The sequence below is a fragment of the Homo sapiens genome, chromosome 8 (genome assembly GCF_000001405.40).
Source record: "Homo sapiens chromosome 8, GRCh38.p14 Primary Assembly".
NCBI lineage: Eukaryota > Metazoa > Chordata > Mammalia > Primates > Hominidae > Homo > Homo sapiens.
Window position 1 is genome coordinate 132,866,157 of NC_000008.11, and position 19,546 is coordinate 132,885,702.

The 19,546-nt window shown below is 45.0% G+C and overlaps 1 protein-coding gene across 13 annotated transcripts in view, besides 2 other annotated features; it reads left to right on the forward strand.

Moving 5' to 3' along the window:
- TG (thyroglobulin) overlaps positions 802 to 19,546 on the forward strand; it is a 267,942-nt gene continuing 249,197 nt past the window's right edge. For 12 of the 13 annotated variants that reach the window (NM_003235.5, XM_017013794.2, XM_006716622.4 and 9 more), the window contains exons 1-8: positions 802 to 911; positions 1,959 to 2,067; positions 3,573 to 3,670; positions 5,192 to 5,395; positions 6,906 to 7,065; positions 15,707 to 15,813; positions 16,313 to 16,456; positions 16,658 to 16,843. In NM_003235.5, the coding sequence (NP_003226.4) occupies positions 845 to 911; positions 1,959 to 2,067; positions 3,573 to 3,670; positions 5,192 to 5,395; positions 6,906 to 7,065; positions 15,707 to 15,813; positions 16,313 to 16,456; positions 16,658 to 16,843 (1,075 nt within the window). In that variant the 5' untranslated portion in view covers positions 802 to 844. Of the gene's footprint in view, positions 912 to 1,958; positions 2,068 to 3,572; positions 3,671 to 5,191; positions 5,396 to 6,905; positions 7,066 to 15,706; positions 15,814 to 16,312; positions 16,457 to 16,657; positions 16,844 to 19,546 lie in introns of those variants that run through there. The other variant, XM_047422166.1, reaches the window with a different exon arrangement.
- Positions 16,266 to 16,767: an enhancer, noted in NCBI's record as "H3K4me1 hESC enhancer chr8:133894667-133895168 (GRCh37/hg19 assembly coordinates)". NCBI's record gives its function as "activates a minimal SCP1, AML or CMV promoter by ChIP-STARR-seq in naive and primed H9 embryonic stem cells {active_cell/tissue: H9 hESC(naive and primed)}" and the evidence as "EXISTENCE:reporter gene assay evidence [ECO:0000049][PMID:30033119]".
- Positions 16,768 to 17,267: an enhancer, noted in NCBI's record as "H3K4me1 hESC enhancer chr8:133895169-133895668 (GRCh37/hg19 assembly coordinates)". NCBI's record gives its function as "activates a minimal SCP1, AML or CMV promoter by ChIP-STARR-seq in naive H9 embryonic stem cells {active_cell/tissue: H9 hESC(naive)}" and the evidence as "EXISTENCE:reporter gene assay evidence [ECO:0000049][PMID:30033119]".

A 19,546-nucleotide genomic window follows, 5' to 3' on the forward strand; every position in this document is an offset into this window, starting at 1 on the left:
GGAACAGGACTGAAGGAAGGAAGCCATGTTTGCCAGGAGAAACCAAATGGACATACAGGCTTTCTGTGGAATACACAGTTCCTGCTATCTTTTGGTTGACAAAGTCTGAGGTCCTAGGAAAGAGAGGAAAGTAATAGAAATATGAATATGAGTGTGTGTGTATTTTGCTTCCCTCACCAAAGTTTTCACAGTCTATATTAATGAGGGCACGATTTTGCCTGTTTTGTTCTCTGCCATATCCTCATTGTCTAGATTAGGTGCCTGCTACTGTGGAGCTCTAAGAGGTTGTTAGAGAAAGAATAGAAGAAAGAAAAGAAGGAAGGAAGGAAAGAAGGAAGAAAGAAAAGAAAGAGGGAAGGAAGGAAAGAAAGAAGGAAGAATGAAAGGAAAGAAGGATAGAAGGGAGAAAGGAAGGAAAGAAGAAAGAAAGGAAGAAAGGAAAGAAGGAAGGAGGAAGGAGAAGGAGAAAGGGTAGGGTGGGGAAGGAAAGAACAAAGGATTGCTTTTCCCTCACTGTGGGCTTGAGCCTGTTCCCTCCAAAGATACAGAGCTTTGGTCTTTACCCATAAAAAAGGATTTTGAAGTCACCCCACCCCGTTCTGTTCCCCCACAGTTTAGACAAGATCCTCATGCTCCACTGGCCACACGAGTGCCCTCAGGAGGAGTAGACACAGGTGGAGGGAGCTCCTTTTGACCAGCAGAGAAAACAGGATGGGGCACTGCCTCACTGAGGACCTGGGGGTGGGAAGGAAAGTGCCAACGGCAGCTCTATAAAAGCTCCCTGGCCAGGGGACCTAGGGCAAGCAGTGGTTTCTCCTCCTTCCTCCCAGGAAGGGCCAGGAAAATGGCCCTGGTCCTGGAGATCTTCACCCTGCTGGCCTCCATCTGCTGGGTGTCGGCCAATATCTTCGGTAAGTTCTGAGGCCATGGAGCCAGGCGGTGGGGAGGGAGCTCCAGTGTCAGCCAGGCTCTGCCCTGGGCCTTCGAACAGGTGCGATCTAATTTAATCTTCACAAATTCCCACATGTCAGTGATTTGCTTTTTTTTTTTCAGATGAAGAGGCAGATTTAGAGAGCCGAACTGAATTACTTGAGGTCACAGAGCTAGTGATTGATGGAGCAGAAATGGGAAATGTGGTTGATCTTCCTAATTCAATTCTAGGTCCTCCTCACCCCACCATTTTGGCAAACTTTTGGCATTGACCTTGGGTTTTTATCCCCTTAGCTATTCCAAAGTCTGTGTCATCCATAACAGGTATTTTAGAAGCAGTAGAAAAAGAAATCTACCTATGAAGTGAAATAGCCCTAAGTTCTGTCTTTGGCTCAGCCACTTACCCATATGACTTCGGGCAAAGTGCCAAGCTTCTGTTTTTTTTTTTTTTTTTTCATTTAAAAAGTAAACAAATAACACACACCTCATGATGCGGTTGTGATTTCTGGGTAGGACCCTATGTGTTACAAGAGTTCTCAATGGAAAAATAAGTCATGTACATTATTAATTAATTGGTATTTCAATGTTTATCTGGAACATGTTACATCTGCAGGGCATGGCTTGATAGATTCAAGAAGAACTTCCTTACGGTTCTCTAACTTACTCCAAATAGCCTCATGGGAATTGCGGCAGGGTGGGGGCGGGCGGGGAACGTGTAGTCCCAGCGTTGATTTTGGGATCCTTCACTTGCCAGTTACGTGACTTTGGGCAGACGACTTTCGCTGCCTGAGACTTGGTGCCTCATGAGTGACAAGGATATATTGCCTGTCACCTCTTAGGAGAATGTTGCACATTAAATGAGCTAATGTCATACTTGTAAGAAAGTGTGCTTAGCTGCCAAATTTTAAAATAGGCTGTCATAGGTAATGATGATGACCCTGGAAAAGCATCTGTGCTTATGAGAGCCCGTCTCTGTCCTGGCAGCCCAGTCCACACTCTTCTTTGATGAACCACTTTTCTTTTCCTAGAGTACCAGGTGGATGCCCAGCCCCTTCGTCCCTGTGAGCTGCAGAGGGAAACGGCCTTTCTGAAGCAAGCAGACTACGTGCCCCAGTGTGCAGAGGATGGCAGCTTCCAGTAAGGCTTATGTCAGCAGCGAACTCTCAAGGTCCAAGATGCCATAAAAAGCATCTTGTGCCTTCCCCCCTCTTCCTGAGCTCTGCCCTGCAACTCCTTTGTGCATGTGAGGCTTGGCCACTGTCATTTGGAGGTGCCTGCCTTTCAGTTCCACTGTCATTTGGAGGTGCCTGCCTTTCAGTTCCCCAAGCTGTTCAACACTGGACAATCTGACCAAGTGAACCCCAATCCATGCTTCATCCTCCCACTGCCCTCCCTTCTCTTCTTGCCATCACTTTTTCTGTGATGGCTTGAATAAACGGCACGTGTGGGGAGTGGGGCAGGTTGAGGAGAGTGTCAAATGATCTGTGCTTTGGGACCTCTCCCTCCTCCAAGTATCCTCTTGAGAAGCTGGGGTGGTGGAAGCAGAGGCTGCCTTGACTTCCTAGTCCTTAGCTGCCACCGACCCTGCCCGGACTAGCTCTCTAGGCTGCCTCTGGGCTTCTGGGTCGCTGTCTCCACATTGAGCTGCTCTCTGAAAGGGGTTTCTCCAGCTGCCCTAATGCAGACTTGGGGCCTGAGACCCTCTCTGTGGAGAGTGTGGTAATAATCTAGACAATTCTTCCCTGCAGAATAGACAGGAATCCTTTGCAATGTGCATGCATTGAAATTTCCTTGTGCTATTCCAGTCATGTTGAATCAGGGGAACTCCATTTATATAACTGCGTTCTGGGAAATGTCTGTGAAACCTCCCTCCCTGCTGCTATCTTATGTACACTCTTAATGTGCCTAACCTCCCACGAGTGTGCAGAGATGCTGCTAGAGCAGTCCCTGCTTAGATCACTGGGAATTCTGGAACAGCAAGGAAGGAGTTAAGGAGGAAGTCTCACTTTCACCAGCCTTATTTATATTCCCATTCCCAACTCTCTTGTTCTGGCCTCTTGCAGTTTCAAACCTGGCCTCTCTTCAGGAGGCTTTGCATATGCTGTTCCCTTTACCTGGAATATCTTTTACCTTCTTATACCTCTGACCATCCTGCAGGTCTCAGTTCAGTCATCATTTCTGGGGAGTCAACTCTATGGCCTGGCCTGACCCCACCCATGTGCTTCCCAATATACCCTGCTGGCCCCTGATCCCACTAACATCCCACCCCCAAGCCCCCACTCCCTATCCATACAATGTGGGCACTGCCTTTACCCTCTGCAGCCTCATAATGCCTGAGGACACTTGGTGGATGTGGCTGAAGCCCTGCACTCCAGGGTGGGTCACTTGTTTTGGGGCTGGCAGGCTGGACAGGTGGTGAATGAATGGCTGGGGCAGGAGGCAGAGCAGGTGCTAGCCAGGCAGGAAAAGTGGGGCCTTTCCTTTCCCAGGTCAGCCACCCTTCTCCACTCCACTCTCTCCCTAATTTAAACGAACCAAAACTTGCAAGAATGGAAATGAAGAAGAAAAGTAGCCTGAGTGGGAGCCGGCATGTGGCTTTGGGGGCCCATCCCAGGGTCACCTGGTCTGTGTCTCCTCCTCAGGACTGTCCAGTGCCAGAACGACGGCCGCTCCTGCTGGTGTGTGGGTGCCAACGGCAGTGAAGTGCTGGGCAGCAGGCAGCCAGGACGGCCTGTGGCTTGTAAGTGGGAGTGGGGGACGTCCCTTGGAGGGACCCTGCTAGGACAACTCACTTCCAGGAATGAGCACTGGGTTTGGGTGGGTGACTGAGCAGGTCCTCCCTCTGGGCTGCTGGCTTCTCCTCTGTGAATAAGAATCATCCCTGCAAGCCATGGAAGGCCCTATTTCCTGCAGGGCCACTGTGAAAGTCCAGTCATTTGTTCAATAAATATCTACCCAGTTCCTCCCATGAGCCACATGCTGAGAAGACAATGGTGAACAGACATCAACATCTCCTGAAATCAGAAAGTGACCAGAAAAATATGAGTGCCTTCTCACCCGTGGTGTGAGGAGTTTCTAAAATTTAAGACTTGGGTCAAAGCTATCCAGTTAAGATAATTATTATAGTGAGTAATCAAAGAAACACAGTCCCTATTTAAAGCATGTCATAACTCTAAAACAATGGTTAACTTAAGCCAACCACCTCAAAATGAGGAAATTGAGCCTAAAACCAAAACTATCCTTTGACGGATTAAAAGCTCTGTTTGGGGTACTGGTTTTATGCATCTAGTATGGTTGTCATGGGGGCACGCTGGCCCCATACTCTCCTGCTGTGTGAGCTTGGCTGAGTCAGGCATCCTCACTGAGCTATGGGTCCTCATCTGTAACATGAATATAGCATCTGCCTTGTATGATGTGAGGATTTAGAACACGTGTAAACACTAGGCACATAGTAGGTATTCAATAGGGGTGATCATTGCTAATGTCTCAGTCCATTTGTGTTGTTATAAAGAAATGCCTGCGGCTAGATAATTTATAAAGAAAAGAGATGTGTTTGGCTCACAGCTCTGCAGGCTGTGCCGAAGCATGCCACTAGCTTCTGCTGCTGCTGAGGACCTCAGGCTGCTTCCACTCATGGTACAAGGGGAAGAGGAACCATCTGTGCAGAGATCATGTGAGAGAGAAAGCTAGAGAGATAGAAGGTGGAGGTGCCAGGCTCTTTTTAACATTCAGCTCTTATGGACACTAATAGAGCTGGAACTCACTCACTCCGAGGGAAGGCATTCATCTCTTCATAAGGGATCCACTTCCAGGACTCAAACACCTCCCACATTGGGGATCAGATTTCAACATGAGATTTGGAGGGGACAAATGCTGAAACTGTAGCAGTTAATGTCACTAGCCTACAAGCAGAGTGGTGAAGCAGCTTCCCCAGGATCACACAGAGAGCCCGTGGAGAAAACTGGACTCAGAAAAGCTCTGTTAATGCCAGGCCTGCACTCTGATCCCATCTCCCCTCCACAGGACCGTGCTCTGGGGTACCTGACTGATGTGGCACCAGCGAGATCAGCCCTTCTCTGACTCAGTCCACAGGATACTAGCTAGGCCTGTTCTGTGGCTGCCACCCCATCACTGCGTGTCCTTGGGCGGGTCATTCCCCTCTCAGCTGTGTCCCCTTGGGAAGGGAGCATGAGTTTTCCTGGGCTCTGCCCCCTGGAAATTTCCCTGCAGTTCTATCTAACATTGCTCCTTGTACCCACAGGTCTGTCATTTTGTCAGCTACAGAAACAGCAGATCTTACTGAGTGGCTACATTAACAGCACAGACACCTCCTACCTCCCTCAGTGTCAGGATTCAGGGGACTACGCGCCTGTTCAGTGTGATGTGCAGCAGGTCCAGTGCTGGTGTGTGGACGCAGAGGGGATGGAGGTGTATGGGACCCGCCAGCTGGGGAGGCCAAAGCGATGTGAGTTTCACTGAGCGCCTGCACCCCTAGAGCTGGGGAGGGGCTGAAGCTTTCCTCACTGCGATCCAACACATTTAGGGTTTCCTGCCGAAGTGGGCAGAGAACCAGGCCCTCATTAGGGAAAATGAAAGCTTCAAAGGGAAGGTTTTATTATTCTCATATTTCCATATGGTAGACAAGCCATATTCACTGGCTGATCATTAGAAACATAAACAGGATTTCATTGAACGTTGTGAGTCTCCTGTTGCAGACCTGAGTCACTGCATGGGTCTCTAACTGTCACGTGTATAGTATAAGCACAGCCATGTGCTGCATACGGATGTTTTGGTCACCAGTGGACCACATACATGATGATGGTCCCATAAGATTATAATAAAGCTGAAAAATTCCTATTTCCTAGTGATGTAATGATGATCTTGACCCCGAGCAGGCCTAGGCTAATGTGTGTGTGTATCTCTTAGTTTTTAACAAAAAAGTTTAAAAGTAAAACAAAAATTAAAAATAAGGAAAAGTTTATAGAAGAAGGATATAAAGAAATAAAATATTTTTGTACAGCTGTACCATGTGTTCCTGTTTTAAGCTAAGTGTTATCATAAAAGAGTCAAAAGTTTTAAAAAATTAAAAAATGTATAAAGTAAAAATATTGGCCGGGCGCGGTGGCTCACGCCTGTAATCCCAGCACTTTGGGAGGCCGAGGCGGGCGGATCACGAGGTCAGGAGATCGAGACCATCCCGGCTAACACGGTGAAACCCCGTCTCTACTAAAAATACAAAAAATTAGCCGGGCGTGGTGGCGGGCACCTGTAGTCCCAGCTACTCGGGAGGCTGAGGCAGGAGAATGGCGTGAACCCGGGAGGTGGAGCTTGCAGTGAGCCAAGATCGCGCCACTGCACTCCAGCCTGGGCGGCAGAGCAAGACTCCGTCTCAAAAAAAAAAAAAAAAAAAAAAAATGTTGCAGTAAGCTAAGGTTAACTTATTACTGAAGAGAGAGAAAAAAATTATAAACTTAGTGTAGCCTCAGTGCATAGTGTTGATAAAGTCTACAACAGTGCACATGAATGTCCTTGGCTTTCACACTCACTCACTGACTCACCCGGAGCAACTGCCAGTCCTGCAAGCTCCGTTCATGGTAAGTACCCCATACAGGTGTACTATTCTTTATCTTTTATACTGTATTTTTACTGTACCGTTTCTATGCTTAGGTATGTCTAGATACACAAATACTCACCATTGTCTTACAATTGCCTACAGTACTCATTACAATAACATGCTGTATAGGTTTGTAGCCTGGGAGCACTAGGCTAGACCATATAGCCCAGGTGTGCTGTAGGCAAACCATCTAGGTCTGCATAAGTACACTCTATGATGTTCACACGACAATGAAACCGCCGAACGATGCATTTCTCAGAGCTCATCCCCATTGCTAAGGGACACGAGTGCATATGCTGCTCGACTGCAGAAATATGTGTCTACTCATATATAAGGATTTTTTTTTCGTGAAAATGTTTAGGTCCAAGGAGCTGTGAAATAAGAAATCGTCGTCTTCTCCACGGGGTGGGAGATAAGTCACCACCCCAGTGTTCTGCGGAGGGAGAGTTTATGCCTGTCCAGTGCAAATTTGTCAACACCACAGACATGATGATTTTTGATCTGGTCCACAGCTACAACAGGTAAGGGGAGCAGGGGTGTGCCAGTCACTGGGCCATCACCTGACGCAGCCCACACTCACCTTGAGCTGGGGGCCTCCATGTGTCATATGTGCAGCATGATAAGGAATTAAGAGCTGCCTCATTCTCATGAGCTGTCCTGGGCATCTAAAGTGCCACGGCGTTTTTTAACAAGGCAAACTGGCAATTGATATTTAATGAAAAATAGATGTGCCCTCTGGCCAATGAAATGTAAAACATCAGAATGTGAAGACATATCGGCTAGGGTGCCTACTACATCATTTTTCATTGTAGCAGGAAACCGGGAGCAAAGTGATCATCAAAACGTGGCTTGCTGAATAAATGTGAATCTGCCATAAATATTTATGTAGCCATTAAAAAGACTGCGTTAGAGCTGCTAGAACATTTGATCTGGAGAGGAGGCCACAGTATATTATGATAATACAATACAAGATACAAAGCACAGATAATATAATATAATATGCTTAAATTTTTAAAGAACAAATGAGCAAAAAGATTCTTTATTTGTGCTTATGTGACTATATTATTATGCAGGTCTCTATATAAGACTATGTGAGCACAGAGGGTAAGAGGAAGGAGCATAAAGTGCATGGTTATCCTGGGCTGCTTTAGGGCCAGGGCTGCTCTGCAGAAGAAAGAGTAGGCAGAAGGCCGGGCGCAGTGGCTCATGTCTGCAATCCCAGAAATTTGGGAGGCTGAGGTGGGCAGATCATGAGGTCAGGGGTTGGAGACCAGCCTGGCCAATATGGCGAAACCCCATCTCTACTAAAAAAAATACAAAAATTAGCCGGGCGTGGTGGTGCACACCTGTAGTCCCAGCTACTTGGGAGGCTGAGGCAGGAGAATCACTTGAACCCAGGAGGCAGAGATTGCAGTGAGCCGAGATTGTGCCACTGCACTCTAGCCTAGGTGACAGAGTGAGACTCCATCTCAAAAGAAAAATAAAATAAAAAATAAATCAAGAGGAGGCAGAAAGGGGATCTGCAGGAGAGGAAAAAAGGCAGCACTCCCAAAAGCATGGATATCATTATATTTGTGAATTTTTGTAAACTGTGTGTATACGTGCACTTACAAATAACTTTAAAAATGTAAATAATGAATATAAACAGAGAGAGGCATTATAGATCTTGACCCAAATAGCCAGAGTAGCTTCTGGTCATCCACACTGGCCACTGGTTTCTTGTAAAGGGTTCACGCAGACTTTAGATGTAATTGAACCATTTGGAGTAGAAAGAAATATGAATACTAGTCTGCAAAGACTGATATGAATTCTCTTGGAGAACTTGAGCCTCTCTTTGGCTGGTTTCCAAAACAACCAGTTTCTTTCCATGTGTGAGGGAGGAAATTCTCATGGGCTGTGCCAGGAGGAATCTCAGACTAGCAGCCTGTGTGCAGAACTGTCCCACAGGCAGACTTTATTTGAACTGCATCATATTTTAAAAACTGGAAACTTTTATTAGGTTGAACCCCATGAAATTTCTATTTTTGTAGGTTAAAAAATAGTTGAACATGAGAAGTTTCACATGTTCAACCTAAAACACACAATTCTGAATTTCTGATTTTAAAGAACAAGGGTGAGAGGCTGCACGCACGCACTCACTGGTGGCATCAAGACACTGGCTTTACTGCTCTTTTTAGACCAAGGACACGCCCTTCTGTGCTCCGGGTCCCTCTGTGCTCTGTTGCCACACCACTGCCTACCTCATCCATTTATATGACCTGCCTGGTCCTGTAGCATTTGCCTTTGGGACCTGCCTTCTGCCTTTGCCCCTGCTTAGCACAGCGACCTGGCCACTTACTCTCTCAGAGCCTCAGTGTTCCCATCCGTCAAATGGAAGACAAGCCCCTGCTCATTACACCATAGTGAAGATTTGATGAGGCCTCATCTATGAAACCATGGGTGCAAATTTACAAAGTTGTAAATTACTATACTTCTGTAGGTAATTCTCATGCATCAGCCAGCTTCAGCAAATGTAGGTTAGAATTTCCCCCTCCAGGCCTGGCCTGCCTGAGAGCAAGTATAAATCTCAAACAGCCAGTTTTATTGAGTACTTATTGCTGCAAACCAATGTGTTCTCAGTTCAAGATCACCTGAGTGCTTACTATATAATGGGAATTTTATATCCTTTAACTTACCTTAATACTTATAATTAGATAATTATAGTCATTACTATACAAATGATTACTGAAACACAGAGGTTAAGGAACTCACCCTAGTAAGCTTAGGTGCTAGAACTGTCTGGCTCCTTTTAGTATCCCACATAAATGTAACTCATCTCTGTTCCCCTACAGTGCATGGCACAGAGCCTTGCACACAGCAGGTCTGGAATCAGTGCTTAAGGAATTGGTGAATGCATCCAAGACCCTGGTGTGTGCCACACTGAGGTTGAGGCACAATTCACAGCTATTTCCACAAGAGGGCAGTCGAGTTAAATGCAAAAGTTCAGAATAAGCATTCTTTGTTTAAAAGAAACACAAAAATTTACTCCTGAAATGGGAGCCTTTTCATTTTGTAAGAAAGCATGTCTCTGAGTAAATTATGGTATTGAAAGGTCATGGGAAGGGTTGGGTGGTTGGTTACTGGAAGCCCAGCTGTAATCAGGGATTTTCCGATACTTAAGTAGACCTGGGTAGTCGCAGGCCCAGTGACTTCTCTGGGCACAGTGGAAGGAGCCTTGGAGGCCATATAGAGGGCCTAAGCTTAGCGACTCAGGTTTCTAGGTAAAATACGAGACAGCAAGTTACGTTTGAATTTCAGATAGCAAAGAGTAATTTTTTTTTTCAGTGTAAGTATGTTTCAATATTGCAGCAAGCATGTGAAGCTTGGGGTTGGGGAAGGGTATATCATAATCACCACTGGACTTGGATTTCTGAAAAAATGGAATGGGTGAGGGGAGAGCAGAGTGAGTGCAAGGAGGCAGCCCTCCGAGTTTGGAGGCTACTGCACTAGTCCAGGCAAGAGACGACGTTGACATGGAGCAAGTGTCGGAGAGGACAGCCAAGAGATGGGGTGAGACTGGAGGAATATTTACCAGGTGGAATCCACAGAACTTGGTGAAGGAATTGATATGGAGGTGAGGGTCGGGGGGAGTCAAGAATGACTCCTAGGTCTGGTTTCTGGATGGATTCTTGAGGATAAATTTGAAAAGGAAAAGCCACAAGCTTTGTTTTGGGATGTTGAATCTAAGGGGATTTTTTTTGAAAATTAAAATGGAGAAGTGGCAGAAGGCAGTTACTTCCCTGGGGCCACCAGAAGGCTGGAATCCTGTGGGCAGCTCATTCGCTGACCTGCTGCTGTGAGTTATTTATGTGCTGGGTGATGGTTTGCACTTGAATTTGGCAATGATGTTTGCCCATCTGAAGTAGGTCCTTTTGCCCTTCAAGAAGGCTACTGCTTACAATATCTGTTTGGCTGGAAAATTTTAAAGAACCATGTTGTAATGGGGAGCAAGCTTCACTGGTCCTTCTGACTCATGCCCCATCTTTTATATTGCCCTAGCCCAACCAGTAACTGTGGACACACATTCTGACCAAGCAGATCATAAGTAAAGGTCTTAAGAGCCTTCAAGCAGGGCTAATGCCATTGTCAAAGCCTTAATGATCTGAGTTAATTGGCTTCTTTATTAACCCTTGTCCTTAATGACTAAACACACTCAAACTTCTTAGCAACCAGTCTAACTTCAAATGCCTTAGCCACCCATGCTACCCAGATTGCCCAGTGGGAAGAAGGATCAGATGTGTCTTAATATATGGTAAAGGGGCATTGTAACCAGAATGTGGAAGGTACTGTATGGAGAAATCCTCACTGGGGAAGCACCAGATCACCCTCATTACAGACACCTGTGGTGGTTGGCTATGCATCAGGCGCTCTGCTAGGCTACGGCCCCCTCTTATTTTATTTTATTTTATTTTATTTTTGAGACAGAGTCTTACTTTGTCACCCAGGCTGGATTGTAGTGATGGGATCTCAGCTCACTGCAACCTCTGCCTCCCAAGCTGAAACAATTCTCCTGCCTCAGCCTCCCAAGTAGCTGGGATTACAGGCATGCGCCACCCCACATGGCTAATTTTTGTGTTTTTACTGGAGACGGGGTTCACTATGTTGGTCAGGCTGGTCTGAAACTCCTGACCTCAAGTGATCCACCCACCTCAGCCTCCCAAAGTGCTGGGATTACAGGTGTGAGCCATGCCCGGTACGGCCCGCTCTTTTAAGGAGCACCCTCCCTAGTGCAGGACAGAATGAAATACATGGCTCATTTGTGAGTCAGTGTTTAGATTTCCAAAGAACTGCCTGTGGGAGATGTTAGAGAATCTGACTGAGCCCGGAGGCAGGAATCGTACTCTGCGAATGAACAAGACCAGATGCCCAGTGGAGACCAGAATTTCGCATTCCTCTGAGCCTTGGTTGTAATTTCTCTGTCTAGGTTGGCTGTAATCTGAGCATAAACTCAGAAATGCCACCCCTTGCCCCTCTGCTAGCATTTGCTTTCTTGAGGATTCTTCTATGGCCACCCTGAGATTTTGCTTTTTATTCAACAAAAGGCAAACATCCTTTTCCACTAGATTGTGGGCATACAGAAAATTAGGAAGATTCTGAGCTTGAACTCACTGGTGATTGCTCTGTTGGAGTGGTAGTCCAAAATATGGTATTTTTCAATTTTTAAATATTGTGTAGATTTTGTCTTCCTCCTTTCTTCTGATATGCCCAAAACAGGATAAAAATGGAAATTAGAGGGAATCATGAGGAAGGCAAAATAAAAGTAGAAAATCAGAATAAGGCAAGGCAAAGATTGGCCCACATCACTCATTCTACACAGTCCTAACAAATGTGAGGGGCTGCATATTTGGCTCTGGGATCCCTGTAACCAAAGAAAAGAAAAAAATAGTCTAAGTTACTTGGTTTCTACAAGATAAAAATAAGAGTTTCTCAGGGGTCACAATGTTTTCTTCTATTGATGATGGAGGGAACTTGGTTCCTCGGGTCCTCATGAAGGGGGGAACACTGTATGCCACAGGGGACCATCTGACTTGACAATGTCCTGCTGCTGAAGGACCAGTGGTTTCCAAAGGCCAATGCCTATAAAAAGCATCTTCAGGTCCAGCGCGCTGGCTCACACCTGTAATCCCAGCACTTTGGGAGGCCAAGGCGGGCAGATCACGAGGTCAGGAGATTGACGCTATCCTGGCTAAGATGGTGAAACCTCGTCTCTACTAAAAATACAAAAAATTAGCTGGGTGTGGTGGTGGGTGCCTGTGGTCCCATCTACTTAGGAGGCTGAGGCAGGAGAATCACTTGAACCTGGGAGAATCACTTGAGCCAAGATCGCACCACTGCACTCCAGCCTGGTGACAGAGCGAGACTCTGTCTCAAAAAAAAAAAACAAAAAAAAAACAAAAAGTGTCTCCAGGTGCTGTATTTCAGAGGCTGCGAATGTTGGGTCCTGGCATTCTCTACCAGACTTGTACCTCCCTCGGTGACTACCAATATCTCAGTTTTCCTTGCTGCCCACACCTTGGTTCTGTCTCCCACCTTGAAGTTGGAGGCATGCAAACGACCCTTCTAGATATGTTCTTCACTCCTCTGTTATCTCCTGGTCAAATCACCATTCGTGGCTTTAGAATCCCACTCAAACTCACCTCCTTTGGGGACATTCTTTGGTCCAGCTGGCCCAAGGCTAGGGATGGAGCCTGACTCTCCAGCTTTCATCAGGGCTTTGGGTTCGGTCTCAGTAGTTTGACTTCTTTTGGTTGATGTGGGGCAGGAGATCTAATAAGGAGGAGGCTGAAAGCATGACAGAACCCCTGTTCCCTGATGACAGTGAATCACTACTGACAGTAGCAGAATAACAGCTAAACAATCTTCATGGTGCTAATTATTATTTTGGAGAAGGAGTCCAAAATGCATAGATGGTGATATCATTTCAGAAATTAGCCACAGAAATCAAATTGTATCAAATGGAATTGTGGGCACACAGGAAATTGGGAAGATTCAGAGCTTGAAATCACTGGTGATTGCAGGGCAGGGCCCCCAAAGGACTGTGCTCTATTGGAGTGGTAGTCTCACCCTTTGGCCACCTGCTGTTGTTGAACGAGCACTGGAAATGGACTTGGGATTCTTGGCCCCTGGTCTTGGCTGGATGATCTTGACCCAGTCACATCACCATGCAGAATCCCAGTTTTCTCATTTGGGAAGTGGAGATTTTTAAAGAGTTGTGAGAATTAAATGAGACAAATATGGAGAGTGTTTGGTCTGATTGTTCATACATATCACTTGTGATTATTTTATGAATAGTAATTAATAGCAACAATCATATTAGCTCTTCTCACTATATACAGAATTAGCAAGAAGGGATTAAAGATGGCAGCACAGGGTGTCTGTCCTAGAGGTCAGCAAAGAACAGCCCTAGAGAGCCCAGAAGGCAGTAACTGGCCTTAGGGTGATCTTACTGGGAGGGTGGGAGGACCCTCTCCAGAGCTGAAGACAGGGTGATCTCCAATGTGCGGGAAGCAGGAATATCAAGAGTGAGGTCCATGCAAAAAACACTGGTAGGTCCAGGTACTGGGCAGTTTATAAGACCAGAAACCCCCAGAGAGGGGCTCTGACCATAAAGTGGTAGGATGAAGATGGCTCAAAGACTGTGGAGGTCATGTCTGCCATGAGCCAGGATGTTGAGGTGGGTCTCTGGGTTGAATTAGCGAAGCATGGAACTAGAGTGATTTAAACGATTTAAACTTGTGCCTCACGCTGGAATGTGTTTCAGAACCCACCTCGGGCCAGCACTTGTGTCATCAACATCTATGAGATGCCAGGAAGAGCGAGGTGCTGGGCATATGGAGCAGTGTCAGACAGAGTCACATGCCTTGCAGGGCAGGATGTAGGACAGAAGCCAGGTGCAGCCAAAAACACACTGAATAACACCACTGGCAGAGATAGGCAGCATGTAGTGGATGAGACCAGGGTTTGAACCCTAGTTCTCACCACTAGTTCAAGACAGTGGCCCATATACCTCACCTTCTTAATCTCTAAAAGGGGGATTAAAATGTACCACCTTCCTTTTAGGAGTGTTAGGTGGATTAAATGAATCAATGTGTATTAAAACATTTTGCAGATAGTCTTTTACAAAGTAGTGCTCAGTAAATAAAAGTTATTATTATACTATTATGAGTATTTTTAAAATTGAATTATCCTAGGCTCTGATGAATGAACTTTTATTATATACCCCCTACCTCCCTATTAGTGGCAACTAAGCAAAGTGAGTTTTTAATATTTGTTATGCAACACGCTTACTGTAACATTCTGTTTAACACACATACACAGAACAATAGATTAATAGCATGGAAAAAAACCTCATCCATAATCCTATAGTGCATTTCTAGCTTTTGTTTTGCATATCCATTTCCATTCAAATTAAATAATAGTTATTAACTTGAATGGAAATTCAAAGCCAGGCTCTCAGCAATTACTACACCACACATTGACTTCCAATACTGATTCAGTTGTACAGTTGTAATTGCAATACATGTATATGGCATTTTATAATCTAACCTTTTTACATAATGTTATACACACTCCCTTTTGGCTAGAATTTTTAAGCATTGTCCTCAATCATAGCATTTTATTATATTTAGGGCATTTACTATAATTTACTTCTTAATTTTCTACTATTGGACATTAAGGTTCTTTTCAATATTTTGCTAGAATAGATTGCACAGCAATTGGCCTATCATTGTACACAGCTGCTGCTTCCGTTAACTTATTGCTGGGAGATATATTTCAGACATAGGTAGAAACACATTATGCTTGGACCTCATATATTAGTTATATAGTTATATAGGGCATGAAAACAAATCTCTAAATGTTATAAAAGATGAACAGTTCCTCTCTGGTTGCTAAATCATTGCACAGGGGTAGAACTCCTCAATATGGCTTTTTATACCTTACCTTTCTATTACTTCTAAGAAAGGGAACCCAGTTGATGAGCTCGTTATAACAATTGCCAGGCCAGATGTGATTAGAGAATCTCTTTCTTCAGTTTACGGAAAGAGATGGATAGCCCTTGTTAGTGATGCTGTATTGATTTGTGTTTTTTTTCAACTATGGGACTGGATACATTTCCTTCTTAAGGATTTCCTGTGGTGGCAGCTGGCTTCTTTTCAAGCTTTTGAAAAGTCGTAAAGGGGCCTGAAGTCATTTGATCTCCCAAAATGAGATAATCTCCAATGTACCATATGTTTGTAAAGCAGACTTGGCCTTTAGTCTCGAGAGCTGTATTCCAGGAAAGGAACCAGTTAATGCGATTTTCCTTGACTGCTTTCTGCCTTGCCCTATGAGACAAACGCATGGGCATAAATTGGTCAAATGCCATAAGTGAGGAAAACGGCTAATTGTTAGACGACAGCTATGCACAGCTTTATTTTACAAGGTCCAGCCTGGTTCCAGCCAGGTTAAACTAATTTGTAAAGGAAATGCATTTACTGCAGGAAGCATGAAGCAACTGTCATGTGATAAGAAAGTAGACATTCCTTTTCACTAGGCGTGGACTTGGCCACATTTATTTCTACAGGAAAAGCTTGTGATGACTTGCCTTTATGAATGGTGACCGTAAATCTCATTCTCTCCAAGGTTTCCAGATGCATTTGTGACCTTCAGTTCCTTCCAGAGGAGGTTCCCTGAGGTATCTGGGTATTGCCACTGTGCTGACAGCCAAGGGCGGGAACTGGCTGAGACAGGTGAGTGATACCCCTCAGGTGATCTGAAGGGAGGGAGTGTGATTCCTCAGGTCTGAAAACCTGGATAACATTGCTTGTAAAGCACAGCTAGAGTGACTGCCTGCCCCCTGCCAGGCTGCTGTGGGCATTGAGGAGGACACAACCTTAGCAAACTGTCATCTTGCAGTATGGTGAATGCAGCTGCTGCTGGCCCACATAGTGCCTTTGTGCACATTGGAAAGAAGTGCCCCGCTCTGGGCAGATGCAGCCCCGAAATTGGCGAGTGGAGCACAGGATGGATTTAATCTCTTATTCTATAAGCACTGCTCCTTTGTTTCTATGAACAGCCTGCACAACCATCCACAGCAGCTCTGACTTTGGAAACTGTTAAAGTGTTGTTCAGACTTATTGCCTAATGATGCTGGTGAAGGCTGTCTCTCTCAGTATCTGTTTGCACAACAAGGTCAGGGCTTCCTTTCTGAATGAGACCATCTCTGAAAGTCTTGCTGTCTTTGCTCAGGTTTGGAGTTGTTACTGGATGAAATTTATGACACCATTTTTGCTGGCCTGGACCTTCCTTCCACCTTCACTGAAACCACCCTGTACCGGATACTGCAGAGACGGTTCCTCGCAGTTCAATCAGTCATCTCTGGCAGATTCCGATGTAAGTAATAAACTGCCAACAATGTGCGTGTTTCCATTAGGGGGACGCCTCTTGGGTTTCAAAGTTGCTATGGTGTGTGTGGCTGCTCCACCAAAGTGAGGGCAGAGATGAAAAGAATCGTTAAGAGCAAACAGCAGTGCATGCTGTGAAGACACCAAGCATTGTTGACACTGTCTTCTTTACTGTGTGGATTTCCTCTAGGCCCCACAAAATGTGAAGTGGAGCGGTTTACAGCAACCAGCTTTGGTCACCCCTATGTTCCAAGCTGCCGCCGAAATGGCGACTATCAGGCGGTGCAGTGCCAGACGGAAGGGCCCTGCTGGTGTGTGGACGCCCAGGGGAAGGAAATGCATGGAACCCGGCAGCAAGGGGAGCCGCCATCTTGTGGTGGGTTTCCTCTGGGGGCTTCCTCTTTCGGCCTCGGATCATATTACTTTGGCGGTCCTCCAGACCAACCTCTCTGGACCCCATTAATTCAACTGCCTTCTAGTGTGCCCCTCTGGCCCTTCAAGCTCAACCTGTCTGAGAACCAGTTTATCATCATTAACTTCCAACATGTTTCTCATCTTGTGTCAGACCTCGTTGCATTTTCAGGGAGCTCAGGGAATATTAGGAGGCTCATAGATGAAGAAAAATAAAAGAGAATTGAGTTCCCATGTGCGGTGAGACAGGAGCATGCACATAACTAAAGGAGCATGGTGAGGTGGGCATTCGATCTTGCAGCAGGTATGGGAAGGAGGCATTTAGGAAGAATGCATGGAAGAGGCCATACTTGATCAGAATCTTCTAAGAAGATGTTTCCTGAAGGAGAGGAGTAAGGAAAGGTGTTCTCTATATAGAGAGCAGGAGAAGCAAAATTAGAAGGACAGAATAATAGGCATTGATATGCTAATGATCATCTAATCTGCAAGAAGGATAGAGAAAAAATTGCTGGAGTATGAATAGGGTGGTGCTCCGGACTCTGAAGAAAGGCAGGGGTAAGACAATGAGGTCTTTGTTATCCTAACAAAGGCTTGGGGGCTTCATCCTGGAGGTCAGGTGAAGACAGTGAAAGGTTTTAAGTTGGACAGTATCATCGTGGGTTTTGCACGTAAGGCAAAGAAATTCTGGAGGAGAGACTCAAAGAAGCAGTAGTCCGGAGGCAACGGGGCTAATTAGAAGGTCATTGCCATGTTCCAGAGCTGATGGAGTCTGTATTAATTTTCTAGGGCTATGGTAATAAATCACCACAAAGTGGGCATCTGAGAGCAACTGAAATGTATTGTCTCTGTTCTGGAGGTTGGAAGTCCAAAATCAGGGTGTCAGCGGGGCCGTGCTCCCTCTGAAAGCTCTAGGGGAGGATCCTTTCTTTCCTCTTCCTAGCTTGTAGTGGCTGCCAGCAATCTGTGCATTCTTTGGTTTAGGGCAGCATTACTGTAGTCTTTGCCTCCATTGCCACGTGGCCATCTTCCCTCTGTGTCTGTCTATGAGTCTTCTCCTCTTCTTACAAGGAGACCAGTCATGTTGGGTTAAGGCTCCACTTGATCCAGTCAGACATCATCTTAACTAATCCCATCTACAATGACCTTCCTGCCAAATAAGGTCACATTCTGTGGTTCTGGGAAGAGCATGAATTTTGAGGGACACTATTCAACCCAGTATGGGGCCAACATTAAAGCAGAAACAGTGGGAGACAGTGAGAACTCTTATTAGGCATTCGAGCCAGACCCCATTTTCTCCTCCTGGTGAAATTTTGAAGGATGTTATGATGAGGAAGGGAAGAACCAGGAGCATTCCTAGGCTTCCAACTTGGGGAAGCTGGGTAGATTTTAAAAGATTTGGAATAGTGATACACCAATGCAGGGTTTTTTATAGCTTCAATATATATATTAACATTCATTCAATAATTCCTGCTAAATCATTCCATTTGTCCCACTTAACCTTTTGAATATTCTTCATGGTATGTGGTTATATTCTATCTGCTAAGTGTGAGAATGTCGAAAAAGAAAATTTGGAGACACTTTCTTGAAGGTATTTACAATCACATTTCATTTCTACTAAAACCTAGAGAATGTTATGCCATCCAACTTCCAGGTGGAAATGAAGAACTATGGCTTTCCAAATTAAAGGCCATAAATGGCTCTATCAAGTGCATAGATAGATCATATATTTTCAATTTTTCTGTCTGGTATATCAGGTCCTATTTCTGTGGAAACAAATGCCACATGGAAACAGTAATTGAATTTCCTTGCTTTGGTAACACTACATAACAAATGGATGGAAAGAGAAAGGGTAAGCTCTTAATTTGGAAGAAGACTAAGCAAAGCAGTAAACTTTATTTCTGCCATACCTTCCTGTAATATCCATTAAAAGAGGCCATGGCCTCGTTGAGGGATGTTACGTGCTCTGATGCTGCCAATCTTTCCCCTCCCACCACATTTTCCAGTTCTTTCTCTGTTGCCTGGTTACAGAAGGAAATTGGCTGACTTTCTTTTTGGCATTTATGTGAATCAAGAGGAAAAAAATATTTTAAAAGTTGGGGGGGGGGCGTGGTGGTTAAAAGGTAAGAGTTATGATTTTATGGAGAAAAATGGAGCTTACTTTACATCCACCTATGTAACTGAGACAGCCCCTTGGTGTTTGAATTTTACATTTTTTCTCTCTTAATGTGGCTACAGTCAGCCTAGGATGTTCAGATAGAATGACTTGACCATGCAAAGAGTTGGCTGAGCTGATCACTGTTAAATTAGTAATTTCTAGGAAAGGTCAAGAAGCTCAGAAGAATGTTCTAAGTGTGTACACTGGGTAGGCATTATTGTTTTATATTATAGGAAGTATTATATTTCCTATATTATAATATATATTACAATATAGGAAAATATTTCTTATAATAGGAACCACTAACAGCATTTCAGATATGGTTCTTGCCCTCAAGGAGACCATAGCTAGCCTAGAAAAGACTACTCCCAAGGAGGAATTAGCCACACTAAAATCACATAGTGAAGCATTGAAGTCTATTGAGAATTCCAACGAGAGAATGCTGGAAGACAACATTTCATTAAATACGCATAGGAATGTGTTGGTCTACTAGTCTCCTAGAGCTGCCACAAC